The following is a 21,937-nucleotide window of genomic DNA, read 5'->3' as shown; positions in this document are numbered from 1 at the left end:
TTTGACTGGAAGGGCATGCTTCCCTTTAAAGAGTCAAGCTCGACTTGCAGAGCTGATAAAACTAGGTCTCATACCCTTGTCTACACAGTCTCCATACACGGTTCCTAACCTGCAGTGAGTAAAGAATGTCACTTTCCAACAGGCCCAGGAACCACATGCTCTTGGGACCTCAAGAAGAGCAGAGTTTACCCAACTCACAGGTATTTGAGGATACAAACCCATGGCTGGGCTCAGCTTTAAAAGGTCTTACCAGAGATTCCTTGTGGAACAGTTCCACCAAAGCCAATCTAAAAGGCCTATGTAGAAATAATTATTCTTGTTGCACTTTATGCAAATAATCAGGCCAAGTATAAGACTAACATCTATTTCGTAAATAATGCAGTCCTATCCTGATTTGTTTTTAACATAAATGAGGACTAAAGAAAGAGAAATTATATTTTAAAACTTACACATTTATCATTAAATTCTAGACTCATTAGTTGTTTTTAAATTTTTGCCTACATTTTAAACTAACTCTGTTTATTCCTATAAACCGACCAGTGATCTCCAGCTGCAGCTCAGAGGGAACAAGAGGGATAGGTGATATAAAAATCTGGATCGATATTCTAGTTCTGAGCAATTATCCTGCAATTCCTGCCAGGTGATGGGAATAAATAGGGTGCCCATAACCCGGAGGTTTCCTTTTTGGGAAAGTAAGACCAAGAGAGCTAACCAAAGCCAAGCCCCATGCATTCCAAACCTTAGCAAGCATATCTATAGTCACCAATTATCTGGATGTCCTTTTCTCTCCCTTGTTGGAGGAGGACTCAATCCCACAGCTTCATTGTAGCATTCGGCTTATGATAAGGAATCCATGCAATGCCCCAGAGACACACTCAATTCCAGGCTCGGGTAAAAGCCCTAGGAAAGAAAACTGGATCTGAGGGATCCAGAGGCAGACAATAGCAGAAATTAAAAGGCACAGCACAGGTGAACATGACTAATTCCTGCCGATTAAACCAAGCTTCCGGTTTCATGGATAAAAGTCATGCTAGTATCCATGGCATAAGTGAGGTCTAAGGAATTCAAAGGCTACTGACAGCAGGGTAGATAGGGCATATGTAGGTAAGAGCAGATACTCCCACACCATCCTGGTCCCCCTGATAAAATGGGTGAAAGCCGCTTTGACACCCATGGGTGGCACCCTGTCATGGTTACTGGGACTTGGGGATACAAAGAGCAATGCCCCACTTTCTCTCCCTCATGTACCCTGAGTATTTTCCAGGGAAAGAAAGGAAGCAGGGACACCTGCTTCTCTCTTTCTAGATGAGTAGCCATTTATCTTCAGTCTGTATCCCTTTCAAATGCATCCTGAACCCCTGAGAGTCCTCTGAAAAAAATGCCTTCTTTTTTCCTTTTTCTTCCTCTGTCCTCTCTTCATTGAAAAGTAATTGTGTCTTCATACTACAGGAAACTCCCCTTGGATGCATCCTCCAAACTGGAAAAAGTTAATTTCCCAAACCTTAAACTCATTGGCATAGGATTGGGCTTGGGGAAAGGGAACCCAGAAGCCTGAGATGCTGGCACAAGGGTAAAAGTTTTTTTTTCCAGTTGGGCTTTTGGCCTCCTTCTCCCAGTGCAAACTGGTAAAAGGCCTTAGGATTTTTGAGCTGTCCTTACTCACCTTGTTTCGTTTTAATACATATTTTCTAACAACCTGATTTGTTTCTTCTCGCCTCAGGCCATCAAACTCTAAAAGGTCATGCATCCAGAGCCTCGGATGATGGCCCCTTTTGCCAGAAACCGTTATATAGGCCTTTGAGGGAGATCTGACTGCCGTAGTCCCAAAACAGCGCCCCCTGTCAGCAGGAGGCAGTTAAGATTGTCTTACTGTCCTTATCCTTATCTTTAACCCTTATCCTTATCCTTATCCTTATCCTAACAGCAGTTAGATGTACTTCTTTAGAAGGGGGAATGATAGAGACAGGAGACAGCCAAGGGTCCCTGGTGAAAGCCCACCTTCAAGCCTACAACAGCCTGAAGGCTGAAGAACTGGACTGCTAGTCCCGGAAAAAGCACACCCTTTCCTGACTGATTCTCTCTGAATAATGGCCACCTGTGCTCTGGGGGAAGGGAGTGGAGCCAGAGGAAATCCCTGCATGGGGAGGAGCCTGGCCTCTTCATTTCCTGTGTGGTGGCCTGGGATTCAATCTGTAAGGTGGGGGGCCTGCTAGCAGGACTCTCTCTCACTTTACTGAGAGTTCCTCTTGCCTTTTTTCCTTTTCACCCAATAAACACAGCCCTATTCACCCTACAATGTGTCTGCATGCCTAAATTTTCCTGGTTGTGTGACAGGAGCCTAGCTTTTTCTACAACAGAGGGAAGGGAGGAAAGAAAAGAGGGAGATAGACAAAGAGAAAAAAAGGCAACTGCAGCAAACTGTTATTAATTGGTGAATCTAGGTGGAGGTTATACAGGATGTCATTGTATTATTCTAACAACTTTTCTGCTAGTTTGAAATTTTTTCAAAATAAAATGTTAAAAGTACATATTTACATCAAGTGTTGGTAAGGATGTGGAGAAATGGAAATTTTCATACTCTGATAAAAGGAATGCAAATTATTGGTACAGTTCTTGGAGAGTAATATAATGATGTTTAATATTACATTGATATAATACTATTAATACAGTATGATGATGATGATATGATAGTAGTATCAGTAATCATCAATATATCTATACCTTATACCTTAGCAATTCAAATGGGATATGGGAAGAAAATAGTAGAATTTTGTACTTATCTTTTAAGAAAAAATTTACATTTGATAATGGGTATTACATGTTAATACAATAGGACATTTATATAATTTATAAATAGAGACATATTGAGGATAAGCAGTTAAGCTTTTTTATTGATGAGGCAACACAATCAGCATAGCAGGAGACCACTCCCCCTTAAGAAATTTAAGTATACATGAGGAGATTATAAATATATGTAAGAATATTAATTGCAGCATAATTTGTAATGGCAAAACTTTGGAAACATTTTAAATATTCATCAGTAAAAGAATACATAAATCAATTGTGTTTTATTAATATAATGGGATGTTAAATAGCAGTTAAGATGAATGAAGCGAAGCTGTAAGTACAGGTTTAGAAAATGTTGAGTGAAAAAACCAAGTCACAGAACCATAAGTCTATTCATATAAATTGTCTTATTCATTTGGCTGTTCCAACAAAGTACCATAAACTGGATGGCTTATAAACAACAGAAATTTATTTCTCACAATTCTGAAGGCTTGGAAGTCTAAGATCAGGGCACCAGCAGAGTCAGGGTCTGGTGAAGGTCCTCTTCCAGGTTGCAGACTGCTGCTGACTTCTAATTGGATCATGACACGGCAGAAGGAGAGCTAGCAGTTCTTGGACCTCTTCTTATAAAAGGCACTAATTTCAATCATGAGGCTCCACCCTTATGACCTGATCACCTCCCACAGGCCCCACCTTCAAATATTATCCCACCGGGATTAGGATTTCAACATATGCATTTTAGGGTGGACACTTTCAGTCCATTGCATAAATTTGGGCACAGAGAAAGACATGAATAGAAGGATAACAACGTGGAGAGACATAGGGAGAAGATGGCCATTAACAAAGCCAAGGGGGAGAGGCCTGGAACAGACTCCCCCTCACAGCCCTTAAAAGGAACCAACTTTTAAGACACCTTGATATCAGACTTCTAGCCTCCAGAACTGAGAGGTGAAATTTTTATTAAGTCATCCAGCTTATAGTACTTTATTATTACAGCCCTAGCAAACTAATACAACATTTATAACTTGGCAATTTTGTTATTTTTTTAAAAAGTATGTTTTCAACCAGAGGGAAAAAACCCTTCTTCCCTCAAAAATGTAAAATGAGGAACTAGAAGGGGTGAAGCTGATCTGCTATTTAATAGAATATCTTTATATATTTTAATAGTAAAGTTAAAATTTTGATCTGTTATCAAAGAGGTTTTTGTTTAATAAACCTGGTGGGTCAGTCTCATGGAGCAAGGGAAAACAATTCCCATGTGCTCAGAAGAGCATTTTGTAATTTCCTAATTAGGGATAAGAAAGACAATTCCCAAGTTTCCTTCAGAAAAGACTGGGGCAATAAACATAATTAACTCTAAGAGGTTTAATAATAAATCACCAAATCTCATGAGCATAATAAATACAACTAGGGAAGTATTTTAATATAGTCTCAATATAATAATCACAAATTCAACTTCAGAACAGTGTGAATTACAAATATAATGTGGATATTTTCTTGGCATAGATCTCAGGCCATGCTATTTTTAAGGTCATTTGTTATTGGAAGCAGAAGGGGCATGATAATATGTAACCTTAGTCCTGCTGACAGAATTTCAGCAAGAGTAACAATGTCCTCCTGCAAACTCTTGATGATACCTTGCTAGAGAAAAAATATGAAGCTGAATAAAGCACAGAATATGAATATGGCCCATGAGAAAACTTCTTTAAGACCACCTGTAGAATTCTGCAATCACATACGCAGGTTTTCTTGTTAGCAACATGCTGGTCTCTCTAATTCCCAATAGCATCTTGCTGTGATATTGTGAGCCTTTAGCATTTTGAATCTCTTGTCCTCACATGTTCAGAACAGTGCCCGGGATATGCCTTTGATAGGTGTCAACTGATGAATAAGGTGAGACAAACAGTTTGATATGAATCCATATTTATTGGATCTCATAAACCCAAAGCAAGCTTACTGACAAGTACAGCAGATGGGGTCAGGGTGGGGGCAGGAGGGTTGCTTTGTTGCCCAGGCTGGAGTGCAGTGGTGTGATCACAGCTCACTGCAGCCTCAAACTCCTGGGCTCAAGCAATCCTCCCTAGTAAGTCTATCGAGTTGCTGGGATTACAGGCATCAGCCACCATGCCCAACCAATCAGGTGATTCCTCTCCTCTGCTTCTGTGTTGGGCCTATAAAAGTCCATTGCTCACACTGTGCAGCACTCTGAACTTTTGGTTCTCAGTGATGCATGATTCCTGAGTCATTCTTTGCTCAAATAAACTGGTAAATTTAATTTGTCTAAAGTTTTTCTTTTAACACATGTAAAGTATTATTACAGAAAAAAGTGTAACTATTAAAACAGTGTTTTCAAGGACCAAAAGCACAGAAGTCAATTAGTTTAGGCAACAACAATAAAATACTTTAGACAACTTTTTTTTTTTTTTTTTTTTTGAGACGGAGTTTCATTCTGTCACCTAGGCTGGAGTGCAGTGGCGCGATCTCGGCTCACTGCAACCTCCGCCTCCTGGGTTCAAGCGATTCTCCTGCCTCAGCCTCTTGAGTAGCTGGGACTACAGGCGCACGCCACCACGCCCAGCTAATTTTTGTATTTTTAGTAGAGACGGGGTTTCACCATGTTGGCCAGGATGGTCTCGATCTCCTGACCTCGTGATCCACCTGCCTCGGCCTCCCAAAGTGCTGGGATTACAAGCGTGAGCCATAGCACCCTGCCGACAACTTTTAAGAATAACCACACTGATGAGAATGTCCAGATATTTACTATAACAAATAACTTTTAAATAATGCTTACACTAGAGATTAAGAAAGAAATGGAGACTAAATAGGAGAGGGAAATGTTAGTCCTTTACACTTTAAATACTAAGAATATCAAACTAATATCATCTTTTCCTCACAAAGTAGCATTTATTAACTTTAGTACATGTTTTCTCAATATTTTTCCAAAAGAAATAATGGTTTCAATGACCGATCCTCAACTATCCCCCACCCCTTTCCATCAACCTCCTTGAGTTCATCATATCAAGATCTTCTTGTTTCCCAACAAGTCTTCATCAAGATTTACTCTCCAAGCTTTAGTTCCATCCACTCACCTACCCAACCTTAAAACATCTATTTATACATTTGTCCGTCCCTTTTCTCCCACGTATATGTCCATCCTTGTAGCTATTCCCTCGCCCACCTGTCTGTCCATCATCAATCCGTCCATGCTACATTTACAGAATATTGAGATAAAGGCATTGCCCTAACAACTTGATACAGGAATAAGTAAAGAGAGAATTATATCACGGTATAAAAAATGCCACCAAGGAGAAGCATCCCAGAACTCGATGGTAGTACAGTGGAAAGACCTGTACTTGGAGGAAAGATAATGGAACTTTCTAGGAGAGTTGATACATTGGCTGAATTTCGAAGGTAAAATAAGCATTAGGAAGGTAAAGGAGTATTATGTACAAAGACAAAGAGATATATGAAAGCAATATGAGTCTGGAGAAACTGTAATTTGACCTGACTAGAAGGTAAGTTGAATAATGAGAGATGACTGAAGAAGCAGACAAAGTGGAGATGGCAGATAGCCTTTCCTTCAGTTATGGTTTCAAACCCTATGAAGAAAGCTGTTGAGTTTCTATCCACCTGCATATTTTTTATTATTATTTTAGTTAGGTGTGCTTTTTTCAAAGATAAACACTCTATTCCTTTTGCTTCTTCCAGTTTTCAACTGAAGATGTGGAGACCTCTCCTCACAGATGTGTTTTGAAAATTTAAAAGCATTTTAAACAGCAACCTAAGTAAATTAATTATTCAAGACAAGACACAGACCTCTTTAATTGCTTCAAAGAAAGTAAAATACCGGGTAACTTGTCAGGTATTTGTCCAAATCTTCTTTTCCCACAACTTCTGCTCCAAAGATTATGCATTTAGTAATAATACAAAAATCTATTAACAATATTTAGATTAATACTAAAATTTAGTAATAATTTAGAAATCTCTAGTTTGAACTATTCATGAGGAAATTACAAACTACTACACATCTCTAACTGGTAGCATTCACATGCCAGCTGTGGTCTATTATTTGGTGACATGCGGGGACTGCTTCTAAGTTGTTTGAGGGGCTTCTATTTTCTGAATATATCAAGGACAAGATGATGTGACCTGCAGCCCATTGGGGGTCAAGGGGAAAGGTGGTAGAGGTGAGGGATAAGAGAAGTAAAATGTAAGTGCAAAGGCTTTATTCTCTCTGCTTATGGATCTTTCCTCATATCCCCGAACGGAGTCCACCAATTCTGCTTCCCAGTAAACAGCCTATGGGGCACCTGCCTGTAAATACCTGGAGCATCATCAGGTTGGGGGGCGGGGAATTAACAAACACCCTAAAGCCTTTGAGGTAGAAGCAACGCAGGCCCTCTTATAATGTGGGCCAACCGCCCGGCCCCAGGCTCCGCGGATCCCGCCCGGAGTGGTCTCCTGGATCCTCTCTCCTCGGGCGGGCGTCCGGTTCCCGCGCGCTCCAAAGGGCTGCCCGCAGGCCGAGACCACAAGGGGGCGGCGCCTGACCCACTCAGCGGGCAGAAAGCGCTGCCTGCTCCGCTCTCCAGGCGCCGCCCCGGCTCCCGGATGTAGGGTGCTCTCCGCCCGCCCCGCCCCCCGGGGGGTGTGGTGCCCTCCGTCCGCCTCGCCCCCCTCACCCGCAGGCCACCCGGCTTCCCACCGGATGGCGGCGGCCGGGTCCTGGAGGCCCGCAAGGCGGGCGCCGCTCAGCGATCTTCGCTGATGGGCCGCGGCGGTAAAACCTGCCCCGCCCACTCGCGGTAAGCAAAGGTACGGCCCCCCAGGCCCCGCCCCCTGTCCTGACAGATAAGCCTCCTGGCCAACCAGGCTTCTCATCTTCCTCTTAAGTTTTGCTCCGTATCCCCGCCCCAGCTTTGAGCCCCACCCCCAGCGGACAAGCTCCGCCTCCAGCCCGCCTCAGAGGAAAGTGAGCTACAGGATAGGAAGCTGCGGGTCTGCGCAGCCTGAGTGCACAGAGTACCTGTAATGCCTGTGGTGCCGGCCGGGAGGGTTGGGCCCAGAAGAAGGCAGACTAGCCCCTGCCCTGCCCAACTTCAGTCCAGCCAAAGAGAAGTAAACGAGGGAGTGGGTGTTAGGTAAGGAAAGTACCCTGACCGGACGGGTTAGGTGAGAAGGTTTCTTGGAGGAACTGAGACCGGAAGATGGAAGGAATTCGCTAGGCCAGAGGCGGGAGGGTGCCCAGGGGAGGGGACAGAGTTCCAGTAAGAGAAAATAGCAGGCCTCGGTGAGAGGATCACCATAGGTTCCAGAAACTAAAACAATTTTTGACCAATATGGCTGGAGCATAGAGTAGTCCAGCAAGAAATAAAGCTGGACAGAGAATGGAAGTCAGATTCTAGAAGACTCTAGAGGTTCACACCTCTAGAGGCTTTTAAAGTGGGAACGTGGCATAATCAGATCTACATTTCATAAAGGTCACTCTGCAGAGTGCATTGGGAGAAGATCAGACTAGGGACAGGAAAATCAGAAGACTGGCATTGATGTGGACTAGGATGGGGGCAGTGAGGATGAAGAGAGAGGGGTGGATTTGAAAGATGTTTTGCACATAGAATTAACAAATTTTGGATGAGGTGGCAGGGTAGGTGAGAATTCAAGAGAATGAAGAGTAAAGATGATTTATTTCTGCATCAGCAAGGTCAATGGTGACCATACAAGTTATCGCTCGCTCCCCTCCATATTTTTAGCACTTTCAGAGCTGTTACCTTACTGCCTTGAGTGTTTCTCTTTTGCGTAGAGAATTTATTGCTGTTCCAGATTAGAGCTTCCTTGAAGAAATGGACATCTTCAGGTTTTCCTTTGCTTAGATTGTACCGCAAATTACCCATTTGATCATTTGCTGAATGATCCAATGAATCAATGGCCCCAAGGGTTTGATCCTCAAAACTAAAAAAAAAAGCTGTCAGAAAGGCCAGTCCTCAAGAGGTACATTTATAGTCATGTGCCCCATAATGACATTTTGATCATCGATGGACTACATATATGACATTAGTCCCATAAGATTATAATGGAGCTGAAAAATTCTTATCACCTAGCGACAAAGCCATTGTAACACTGTACCGCAATGTATTACTCACATGTTTGTTGTGATGCTGGTGTAAACAAACCTACCATGCTGCCAGTCATATAAAAAGGTAGCACACATGATTATGTGCAATACATAATACTTCAAAATGATAATAAACGACTGTTACTGGTTCATATATTTACTGTATTATACTTTTTATCATTATTTTAGAGTGCATTCCTTCTACTTATAAGAAAAGTTAACTGTCAGCCTCAGGCAGGCCTTTCAGGAGGTATTCCATAAGAGCATTGTCATCATAGGAGATGACAGCTCCGGGTGTGTTATTGCCCCTGAAGACCTTCCAATGGGACAAGATGTGGAGGTGGAAGACAGTGACACTGATGATCCTGACTCTCTGTAAGCCTAGGCTAATGTGTGTGTTTGTGTCTGTTTTTAACAAAAAAGTTTAAAAATTAAAAAGTTAAGATATAAAAAGCTTATAGAATAAGGATATAAAGAAAAAAAAGTTTTGTGTATCTGTACAATGTATTTATGTTTTAAACTTATTATAAAAGAGTCATTTTTTTCAAGTTTATAAAGTAAAAACATTATGGTAAGCTAAGGTTACTGATGAAAGAAAAATATTTTTTCATAAATATAGTGAAACCTAAGTGTACAGTGTTTATGAAGTCTATAGTAGCGTACAGTAATTTTTCTAACAAAAATATATACTATTCACAGAATATTAAAAAGACTAGAAGATAAGGAATCACTTTTCTGATATGAGTCAATATTTGATCCTACATCATGTTATCACAGTAAAATAGAATCAAAGATTGACTCACCCCAGCATTATCAAAAGACCATGGAGGCCAGGCGCGGTGGCTCACGCCTGTAATCCCAGCACTTTGGGAGGCTGAGGCGGGTGGATCATGAGGTAAGGAGTTCGAGACCAGTCTGGCCAACATAGTGAAACCCCATCTCTACTAAAAATACAAAACATTAGCCAGATGTGGTGGTGTGTGCCTGTAATCCCAGCTACTCAGGAGGCTGAGGCAGGAGAATCGCTTGAACCCGGGAGGCGGAGGTTGCAGTGAGCTGAGATCACGTCATTTCACTCCAGCCCAGGCGACAGTCTGAGACTCCGTCTCAAAAAAAAAAAAAAAAAAAAAAAAGACCATGGATTTGGGGGCCAAGCAGCCCTGGGTTTGAATATTGGCATATTGGCTCTATCCCAAACTAGCTGGGCAATTCTGGACAAGTGAGGAATTCCTTAAGACTCAGTGTTAGTTTCCTAGGGCTGACATAAGAAAGCACCAAAAACCGGGTGGCTTAAAACAACAGAAATGTATTACATTACAGTTCTGGAGGCTGGAAGTCCAAAATTGGTGTCAGTAGGGTCATGCTCTCCTGAAGGCTCTGTAGGAGGATCTCTTCCATCTCCTAACTTCTAGAGGCCCAGGTGTTCCTTGGCTTGCTGATACATCACTCCAATGCTCTGTCTTCACAGGGTGTTCTGGGTCTCACCATCTTCTTATGAGGGCACCAGTCACATTGCATTTGGAACCCACCCTATTCTAGTATGAACTCAAATTATTGTATCTACAATGTCCCTATTTCCAAATAAGGCCACATTCTCAGGTACTGAGGGTTAGGACTTTCACATGTCACTTTTCGGGGGACAAAATTCAATCCATAACACTCAGTATCTTCATCACATAGTTGCGAATAAAGGTACCTTCCTTGGAGAGCCATTATGAGAACCGTGTATGAACTTATTTTTAAAAATTCCTAGCACAATATCTGACACATGATAAATAAGAAAAGTGAAATGTAATAAAAACCAGTCCATTGGAATGATACATTCTTTTTTTTTTTTTTTCTCGCTCTGTCACCCAGGCTGGAGTACAATGGCGTGATCTAGGCTCACTGCAAGCTCTGCCTCCCAGGTTCATGCCATTCTCCTGCCTCAGCCTCCTGAGTAGCTGGGACTACAGGCACCTGCCACCACACCCGGCTGATTTTTTGTATTTTTAGTAGAGACGGGGTTTCACCGTGTTAGCCAAGATGTTCTCGATCTCCTGACCTCGTGATCCGCCTGCCTCGGCCTCCCAAAGTGCTGGATACATTACTTTTAATGGTGAAAAGCACAATTACTTTTGCACCAATCTTATAGTTATCAATACTGTCTTTAAACAGTGTTTCTAATATTTTCTGCTATTATCCTTTACAGTCACAAGCAATGAGTTCTGCTTTTCACCCTCTTCTTGCCTTACCCTATTTGTGTTTCTATTTTCACTTTTTTAAAGTAAACCATCTTTATCTATATGTGGGATATACCTTTTAAAAACTCTAGCACACACCTTAATGAAGAGCTCCCAAATATAATCAACAAATGTCTCAGGTGATATGTCCTAGAAGTGAGGGAAGGGAAGGTGAGAAAAAGCAGTGTTTTGCACTAATATATTATTTCTAATTCTCATTCCAACCCCATGAGACAAGCATTATTAACCTTGCTTTTAGAAGAAGAAACTCAGGCTGAGAGAAGGTTAAGTAACTTGCTTAACGTCAGAGCTAGCATGTGGTAGGGACAACATTCCCCCCAGGTTTGCTTGGCTCCAAAGAGCACATGTATTATTCTCCCCTCCTTCCATCACCTTGTGGTATTATTTCCAAACTCACATTATCTTTTCCTATTTCCTTTCCAAGTAGTCACTTGGAGCTGTCATTTTCCGTATTCATATATTTCATTAAATCCTTGCTTCTCTTTCCCAAAATTGGCCAGAAGTAAAATTGTGAAGTATGTAGAAATCTTCTTTTGATCATTTGGTAAACTTTGACAAGGCCTTGTGGAATACTTTGGAGACTGACAATCATACCCAGCCTTTTCTCTTTTTCTGCATTCTCAGAGGCCAAGATCCTTCTGTGTAAGACTCACCCCTCCTTTGTGCTCTTAATCTCATCCCTTTTAGTCTCTTTGGGGATCTTTATCTCAGAACTGTATCTTTCATCATTCCCACTTCCTCTGCACTTACTAATATTCCCTATTTTTAAAAAAATCCCTTTATAGCATCCACCCCCCGAGTCATCACCCAATGGCTTATTTTCCATCTTTTTCTTTCGAGCCCTGGAGAGAAAAGTATAGTATACAGTTGTCAACTCCATTTCTTCTTCAACTAATCTACTGTAGTCAGATTTTGATCCCACCTTCCACTGAAACTGCTCTAAGATTACGCGAAAGCCTTTTAAATACCAAAGCCAATGAATGCTTTGAAATCATCATCTTACTCCATTTCTCTGCTGTAGCAGACAGTTTTTGTTACCTCATTCTGTTTAAAACTCTTCTTTTTCTTGGCTTCTGGAAGATTGCATCTGTCTGTGCTCCTCTTAGTTTTCTTGGGTTTTTTCTTCCTCTACATTGTAATATGGCCCACAGCCTGTCTCTCATTGCATGCCATCCCGAGAATTCTTCCACTCTGATAGCTTCAACCAGTACCTTTATACATAGCTACGCACCAGAGATGTATAGCTGATTCTGTCCTCACCTGACCTCCTCTTTAATATTTCCAAAGGACTTTCTCTTAAGATGAATATTGAAGAAAAAGTGAAAATTTGCTGTGAACCTCTCAGAGAGAGAGGGCATTCTAATCAGGCAGTTTCGACATCATGTGCAGAGGTACAGAAGTATGAAAGACCAGTAAAAATTGAGAGGTCTGTGGTAAGTTCAGTATTGCTGCAGGGTGAAGTGGAATAGGTGTGGTCAGGATGTGTGGAGAGATGAGAGGTGAGGCTAAGCAGATAGGCAGGGGTCAAGTAATATGAAGGGTCTTATTAGCCGTACTAGATGGTTTCAAATTTTGCCCTGTGTATGGTGAGCCATTGTGGGATTCTGAGAAGAGTAGTGTAATTGGCTCTAAGTTTTAGAAAGCTTACTGTTAGGAAAGTAAAAGAAGTCTAAGACTAGAAGCAGGAGGCCAAGGAAGAAGCTGTGGTAATAATCCAAGTGAGAGATGGTAATGAGGTGAACTAGGACGATGGACATGGTTTGGAGAGTAGAGACAATGGATGTTTCTAAAGTGGAATCAGGAGAATTTGTTGACAAATCAAATAAAAGGGAGGAAAAAAGGTGGACTCCAGGATGATGAGGTTTCTGGTTTGCGTAACGGGGTAGATGAAAAACAATTTAGCACAATGGATTATAGGAAGTGAAGTGTATTTATTGGAAAAAATTCATGTATTGATTCATTCATCAGACAGACATTTAAACATTTTCTACATGCTAGACACTATGCTAAGCCCCAGAATAATTTCTAATTTGGACATAACTTTGAGAATGCCTTCAAACATCGAGATGGAGATGTTTAGCAAACAGGTAGAGATAGGCATCTAAAGCTCAGCAGACATGTCTCCATTTTGTTGTTATTATTAACAACATTGTCACATATGTTCTTGTGGGTAAATTTTTGCCCAGATGCTTAATTATCTACACTGTGCAGAAGATATTAGAGAAATGAGAATGGCTGAAATTTATAATCCCATGCCATGTCATTTATATTACTTTGTTTAATAATGTCCTTATCAACTTTTGTTCTTCTATGATTGACATAACTTTCTAAAAGGAACAAATGTGCAACTACATGACTGAGCAGTGTGATATAACTGATTTCTGAAAAATTTGGTATAGAATCAAAGGGTTAAATATCCTCTTCATAAGCATTTTTATTACTCTCAGAGAAATTTACTACCTTCTTCAGTTTAACATTTCAGTGTTCTTGGACTTAACGTTTTAGATATGATTACTACTTATATATTGTGATAGCATTATGAATAAGCATTATCCTTTTTGGAAAAGGGGAAAAATTTGGGAAGTCATAAATATATATACCTTTTAACTCAGTAATTCAACTTTTTGAAAATTCAACTGCTCTAAAATCATCTAAGCAATAGAAAAAGCTGTATGCATGATGATGTTTATCACAGCTTTATTTATAGCTTTTAAAGGAAAGGAAGCAACCTTGGTGTCCCTGGGAGTAAATTATAGTTATTTTATGTGTAACCATTAAAATAATGGTTGGAAAATTATAGAGAGACATGAAAAGTGTATATGATAGAATGTTAGACAATTCAGGAGAAAATTTTAAGTAGACTATAATTATAACCATGTAAAAAATACATATGAAAAATAATGTAAGTATATTGCCAAAATACTAACAATAGTTATATTTGGATGGGGAAATTATAGTGTGTTTGTTTGTTCCCAAATTATCTGCATATCAGAGATTGATCATTTTCATTTTCCCAGGGATCACTTGCCCTTTCTCTAATAAAAGCACCCTGACTCAACAGAGGGAATTGCAGGTTCCTTCTCCGAGTTCATGTGGTTTCAGTGGGGTTGACTCCACCCCGCCAGAGACATAGCCCAAGCCAAGATCATCAAAAGCAATTAGACCCAATTCTAGGATTTTTATTGGAACTTTAGGAAAAGATGCAAGTTATTTCCACTGCGGATTGGTAAGAGGATAGAGTGGAAGCTTGGAGCTGTAGGCAGCCATATAGTCAGAGTGGGGGTACAATCTATCTGTGAAAGGAGCCAAGACAGAGGAACACAAAGACAAGAGATGACTACAAGGAGACTGGATTCTGAGAACACTCTTTGAACCCCAGGACCTAACTGTGTCTGATGTGAAATTATCCCTGGAATTTTCAGTTATGTGAGCCCATAGCTTTATTTTGGCTTCAGCCAGTCTGTATTTTTTCTCTTTTAATAGACAACAACAACAAAAAGAGTCCTAATTAATTAGATAATCAGATTTTGTCACCTTTTTGTTATTTTTTTTAAAGCATATGCATCGAAAGCATTCCAAACCATCCTAAACATTCTAAAGTTTATATTCATTTCTTGACCTGCGCTAGAAGCGCAGGTGAAATATTGATTTTAACTTCAGGATTCCAGAAATTCCAGAAATCTTGACTCAGCCCAGTCACATTGCCTTCATAAAGTTACCGAAGGTTTTAAGCAGAGGGAACAAAGTAATACAGAAGGACTTTGTTGTTAGTTGGGCTAGTATTTGATAATTACAGTAATGTGTACTTTTTGTTTTGTGTCTCTAGAACCCCTCCCTTCTCCTGCTGACAGCATTCCCTACTTCTTTTTGGGAACTATTTCTTTACCCAGCTCTGCCAGGGATGGGCAGATTATGTAACTGTGGTCATTCAGGATCCTTTTGAGATTTTCCAAATAGAAATTAAGAAAAAAGACTCTTTTACCTGAAGTTGAAGCGGAAAGATGCCAGTGCCCATGACTCCAATCTTCTAGAGGATGCTGGTCTGAGAGGAGGCCGTCTTGCTGAGGAAAGCAGAGGCAAGATATAAAGTCCAAATGGTAAATAATTCAGTTCTAGTAAGTCTCCAAGAATAGCTACATTCCCGCCCTTTGCATTATTTGATTATATGAGCCAATAAAATTTCCCCCACCCCCTAAGGTACTTCCTATTAGATTTGTTCACTTGCATCTGAGAGTCCTAGCTAAATATATGTCTAGTGCCCCAGTAAACCTAGGTAGGGACATGTAGCCTAACCTAAAGGTCACGTCAGATCTCTCTGTTTTTCCCTAAACATGCAGATCTTGGGATTTCCACTTTCTAGTCAGTGGCATGTTGGAGATCAAGCCAAGGATTTTTACTTTGTGTATGAATGAGGAAGATAGTACAAGATGGCAAGGAGTGTTTTGAAGCAGGAAGTTCTTTTTTTTTGTTTGTTTGAAACGGAGTTTCGCTCTTGTCACCCACGCTGGAGTGCAGTGGCGTGGCTCACTGCAACCTCCGCCTCCTGGGTTCAAGCAATTCTCCTGCCTCAGCCTCCCAAGTAGCTGGGATTACAGGTGCCTGCCACCATGCCCGGCTAATTTTTTGTATTTTTAGTAGAGACGGGGTTTCGCCATGTTGGGCAGGCTGGTCTCAAATTCCTGACCTCGGAGATCGAGACCATCCTGGCTAACACAGTGAAACCCCGTCTCTACTAAAAATACAAAAAAAAAAAAAAAAAAAAAAAAAAATTAGCCAGGCATGGTGGTGGGTGCCCGTAGTCCCAGCTACTCGGGAGGCTGAGGCAGGAGAATGGCGTGAACCTGGGAGGCGGAGCTTGCAGTGAGCCGAGATCACGCCACTGCACTCCAGCCTGGGGGGGCAGAGCGAGACTCCGTCTCAAAAAAAAAAAAAAAAAAAAGTCCTGACCTCGTGATCCGCCTACCTCGGCCTGCCAAAGTACTGGGATTACAGGCGTGAGCCACCGCGCCTGTCCTGAAGCAGGAAGTTCTAAATCAGCTTACCCACTTAAGTGAAAAGGAGTAACAGAGAGAGAACAAGATGGCTAGTCATCTGTGAGGAGGCAGTTCATTAGCTGTAAAGAAAAAGGAAATGGAAGAGAGAGTATCTACATGGCACTGAAAAAAGAAGGAAGCACCCACTAAGAAATGTGGTCCAATCAGTAACTTGAAACCCAACTGGATTAGCAATTCTTCTCCCCTGAGAAGGGGAGAAGAGCAAAAACTTGGTGGAAGGAAAAACAGGAGAGTTGAGAATGGGATAAAAGTTGCATGTTGGTTTAGTACTAGGAGAGTTTTACAGAGATATACTATACTATTCCAGTTTTTTTAAAAACAGAAGGAGTGCTTGCTAAATATTCAATCATCAAAGATAAAACATGGCAGTATATTATTTCTGATTTCTCATTGATATTATACTTCTCATATGAACAACTAAGTTTGAAACTCTAAGGAAAAGAAAAGCTCACATAAGACCCGGCTAGTCAGGTATGTATATTGAAATTCAATCTTTTCATAATAAAAAATAAGGATTCTTACATTTTCTCTAATATGAATCAAAATGCACAAGATTTTAGTTGTCATCAGCAATGTTATATAAATTAGCAAACACAAGAAAAATATGAAAAGGTTGTTAATATTTATAAATTTAGAGATGCTATTTATATCCTATCCCTTTGAATTTGATGCTAATATATAAGAGTTGGTGAGTTAACTTGGACAAACAGCTTGGAAGATGAAATACATTTACTTCAAAGTCAAAGCCATTTTTCTAAAAGGATAAACTAGTTTTGCAAATGTACATGCAAATTTTAAAGGGAGCTGATGTGTTAGTACATGATTCAGTTATTGGAAAACTTCTAAGTATGTTTGAAACAATTTGGGCATATAAATCTATTTTTTAAACTGTAAATTTTATGAAATCTTACTACAAGCATTTCTGATGAAAATTTAACATCTGCACTGAGATGTGCTATAAGTGTGAAATATACACCAGATTTCAAAGACTTAGTATGACAAAAAGAATAGAAAATATTGTAACAATTTCTTATATTGATTACATTATGATATTTGAAATATGCTGGAATATGCTGTTCTATCTCAGCGTGAAATTTAAGAAGGACGGTGTGGAGGAGGTGGGAGTAACCTTTCTGAGCTTACATTTCAGCTTATTCCCTTTTAGCCCACCACTGCATTTCTCAAGGGTTCCTTTGGAAATTATTTTGCCAATGAGCCTCCACTGGAAAACAAATGACAAACATGGAGGAAATGTTTATGTAGTAACATATAGAAAAACATTCTCACTAATAATCAAAATGATGCACAGTGAAACAGTGATGAATACTCTTTCTTGGATCTTCAACTCAGCTGTGTACATACCCTAAATATGCATGTTCCAATTCATAAGGGTGAGCCACTGATTCCAGCTTGAGTTCAAGGGAATTGCCTGGGAATTCACAGCTCTCGTTTTTCCTGTCTGGAAGTCTTTATGAGAGCAATTAGGCAAAAAAAGAAACAAGACATCCATAGAGAAAAGGAAAAGGTGAAATTGTCACTGTTTGTTGATGACATGGTCTTATATATAGAAAAATCTAAAGACTCAAAAAAACTATTGAAACTAATAAATAGATTAAATAAAGTTGCAGGATGCAAAATCAACACACAAAAATCAGCATTTCTATACACTAACAACAGTCTATCTGGAAAAGAAATCAAAAGAACAATCCCATTGACAATAGCCACCAAAAAAAAAAAAAAAAAAAGCTTAGGAATAAATTTAACCCAGGAGAAGGGCCTATACACTGAAAACTATAAAATGTTAATGAAAAAATCAAAGACACAAATGGAAAGATACCCCTTCCAATCAATTCATCGATTGGAAGAATTATATTGTTAAAATGTCCATACTACCCAAAGCAATATACAGATTTGAAGCAATCCCTATCAGAATTACAATGTCATTTTTTTTATAGAATAGAAAAGATAGTCTAAAACTGATATGGAACCAGAAAAATTTTGAATAGTAAAGACAATCACTAACAAAAACAGCAAAGCTGGAGGCAACACAATACCTGATTTTAAACTATACTACAAAGCTACGGTAATTTAAACAGTTTGGTACTGCCAAAAAAATACACACATTGACCAATAGAACAGAGTAGAGACCCAAGAAATGGGTACATGTATGTAAGGTCAATTGATCTTCAGAAAAAAAAGTCAAGAATACACAATGGGGAAAGGATAGTCTCTTCAATAAAAGAGTCTTGTAAAAACTGGGCATCCATATACAGAAGAATTAAATTGGACTCTTACATCATATGCAAAAATCAACTCAAAATGGATTAAAGACTTAAATGTAAGACTCGAAATTGTAAAAGTACTGCAGGTTGAGTATCCCTCATTCAAAATACTTGGGAATGGAAGTGTTTTGGATTTTGTTTTTTTTTATTCTGGAATATTTGCATTACATTTAATGGTTGAGCATCCCTAACCCAAACATCCAAAATCCAAAATACTCCAATGAGAATTTCCTTTGAGCGCCACACCAAAACTAAAAACGTTTCAGATTTTGGAGCATTTCAAATTTCAGATTTTCAGATTAGGGATACTAATTTTTTTGTTTGTTTTTGAGACGGAGTCTTGCTCTGTCGCCAGGCTGGAGTGCGGTGGCGTGATCTCAGCTCACTGCAACCTCTGCCTCCTGAGTTCAAGTGATTCGCCTGCCTCAGCCTCCCAAGTAGCTGGGACTATAGGCATGCACCACCATGCCCAGCTAATCTTTTGTATTTTAGTAGAGACGGGGTTTCACCATGTTGGATAGGATGGTCTTGATCTCATGACCTTGTGATCTGCCCACCTTGGCCTCCCAAAGTGCTGGGAGTACAGGCATAAGCCACTGCACCCGGCCTAGGGATACTAAATATAGAATAAAATAAAAGGGAAAAACTACATTACATTGATCTGGGCAATAGTTTTTTGGACTTTTTTTAACCCCCAGTGCTCAAGCAACAAAAGTAAACATAGACAAATGGGACTGTATCAAACCAAAAAGGTTCTTCACTGCAAAGAAAACATTTAGCAGTGTAAAGAGACAACCTATGGATTGGGAGAAAATATTTGCAAGCTGTACTTCCAATAAGGGGCTAATATCCAAAATATGTAAGGAACTCAACTCAATAGCAAGAAAACAAAAAAAACCCAACTAAAAAATGGGCAAGGGACCTGAATAAACATTTCTCAAAAGAAGATATATAAATGGCCAACAGATATATGAAAAAATGCTCAACATTGCTCATCATTCAGAAAATTCAAATTAAAATCTCTGTATCATCTCACACTTGTCAGAATGGCTATTATCAAAAAGCTGAAAGGGAACAAGTGTCAGGAAGATTTGTGGAAAAAAGGGTCCCTCTTGTATCCCTCTTGTATACAGTTGGTAGAAATGTAAATTAGTACAGTCTTTATGGAAAACTGTAGGAAGTTTCCTCAAAAATCTAAAAATATAATTACCATATGACCTAGCAGTTCCACCTCTGGGTATTGACTCAAAATATTTGAAATCAGTTTGTCAAAAAGATGTCTGCACTCCCATGTTCCTTGCACTACTATTCAAAATAGCCAAGTTACAGAATTAATCTAGATGTTCATCAACAGATGAATGGATTAACAAAAAAGTGGTGTATATATACAAAATGGAATATTTTTCAGCCTTAAAGATTCTGTCATTTGTGACAATATAGATGGAATTGGGAAACATTATGCTAAGTGAAATAAGCAGGCACAGAAAGATAAATACTGCATATTCCCACTTACATGTAGAATCCAAAACAATTGAACTCAGAAGCAGAGAACAGAATGGTGGTTACAGAGTCTGGAGGGTGAGGAGAATGTGGAGATGATGGTCAAAGGGTACAAAATCTCAGGAGAAAATGTTATTTTTTCTTGAGAGCTATTGTACAGTATGATAAATATAGTTAATAATAGTGTATTCTACATTTCAAAATTGCTAAGAGTAAATTTCAAATGTTCTCATCACAAAAAAAATTTGAGGAGATATGTTAATTAGCTTGATTTAATTATTGCACATTATATTCATAAATCATAATATCACTTTGTACCCCATAAATATATGCATTTATAAATTGTCAATTTACAAAAAAATGGAAAGATACGTTTGGTTTGAGATGAACCTGTAGTGGGCTCCCCTCCCCACTCCCACAGAAGGAAACTAGATATTTGTCTACTAATCAGTGAGGAAAACTGCATGTTTATAGGGAAGTGAGGTTGGCATGTTACAGTTACGAAATCTGCTGGGTGGCTTGGATAGTATCTTGTTGGAGAAAGGACTCCTAGTCAAGTTTTAGGCCTAATTCTGCTCCTAAGATACTTGCCCTGGAAAAAATCACTGATGTCCCTAAGTCTCTTTTCTATAATTTGAAAATTGGGCATTAAAACAGCTGAGCTTCAGAGTCCTTTTCAGGTCTATCATCCTAAAATTATGTAATTCGTGAATCACAATAATTTCAGAAAACATAAGTACATTTTTCCCCCATATGGGGCCACCATCCATAATTCTCAAACACTATTATTAAAGAAGATAAAATAGAAAAAAAAAAACAGGTTCTATGGCTATTTTAAGGGTCTATTGGCATAATTCCATGAAGCATTTTGGTAAGTGACCTTGTTTTAGTTCTGCAGTTTTAAATTTCAAGAAAGTTTTCAGACCAAGCTGTATCACCCTTGGAGAGGGAGTGGCTGAAGGAGAAAAATGGTTATTATGTCTAAGCCTCTGTACACTGCACTGAACTCGGAAGTGACGTTGTACATTGGCTGGGCCAGAGATTGATGAGATGCACCTGACTCAGATGAAGACATATCCTGATTAGTCTATAGACAGAACTACTGGAGGGGATTAATCAAGCTTCACATGACCCTCACTTACTTGGACTTAGCAACATCTGTGCTTCCTTCCCCTCCCCTCCAACAGAATCAGGGAGGGGGTTCTAGAAGCTTGCCCCTGCATGTTTGCTCTAAAAAATAATGCTAAATTCTGTATCCTTCCTTTTGTACCCTTTAGAGAATTGAACTTTATCTAAAAAACCCAAGAAAAGACTGTCAGATATTTCCTGTAGTCTGAAACTGTAATTGAACTTAACAGTACAGTGGTTGTTTATGTAAAAATGAAGGAATCCAGCCTGGCACGGTGGCTCATGCCTGTAATCACAGCACTTTGAAAGGCCAAGGTGGGTGAATCACGAGGTCAGGAGTTTGAGACCAGCCTGACCAATATGGTGAAACCCTGTCTTTACTAAAAACAAAAATTAGCAGGGCGTGGTGGCGTGCACCTGTAGTCCCAGCTACTTGGGAGGCTGAGGCAGAAGAATCGCTTGAACCTGGGAGGCAGAGGTTGCAGTGAGCCGAGATCGCACCACTGCACTCCAGCCTGGGTGACTGAGATTCTGTCTCAATAAATAAATAAAAACAATCCAATAATTTATTCTTAGTCTAGTATAGAAAAAAAGCATATGTTGAGGCAACCAAGAATTGAGTAGCAAATGAAACATTAGAATTTCCCGTGAAAACAAATACTACATGGAATGAAACTGGGCCTCCAAAGCTTTATCTTAAGGATAGCAAGAAATAACCAACAGTAAATCCCATACATTGAGAAGAGCCAGCAGGAGGCAGCAGATCTCATTGACTAGGGGAAGCACTTGCCCTACAGTAGATCTGAGGTCGTATTTCTTTTCTAAGTCATA

General features: G+C 39.7%; 1 annotated feature.

Moving 5' to 3' along the window:
• Positions 7,296-7,685: a silencer, noted in NCBI's record as "silent region_1615". NCBI's record gives its function as "represses an Ori minimal core promoter by ATAC-STARR-seq in GM12878 lymphoblastoid cells {active_cell/tissue: GM12878}" and the evidence as "EXISTENCE:reporter gene assay evidence [ECO:0000049][PMID:35858748]".

This window comes from Homo sapiens, chromosome 1, assembly GCF_000001405.40.
Source record: "Homo sapiens chromosome 1, GRCh38.p14 Primary Assembly".
Taxonomy (NCBI): domain Eukaryota; kingdom Metazoa; phylum Chordata; class Mammalia; order Primates; family Hominidae; genus Homo; species Homo sapiens.
This window is presented reverse-complemented; position numbering and strand designations above follow the sequence as displayed.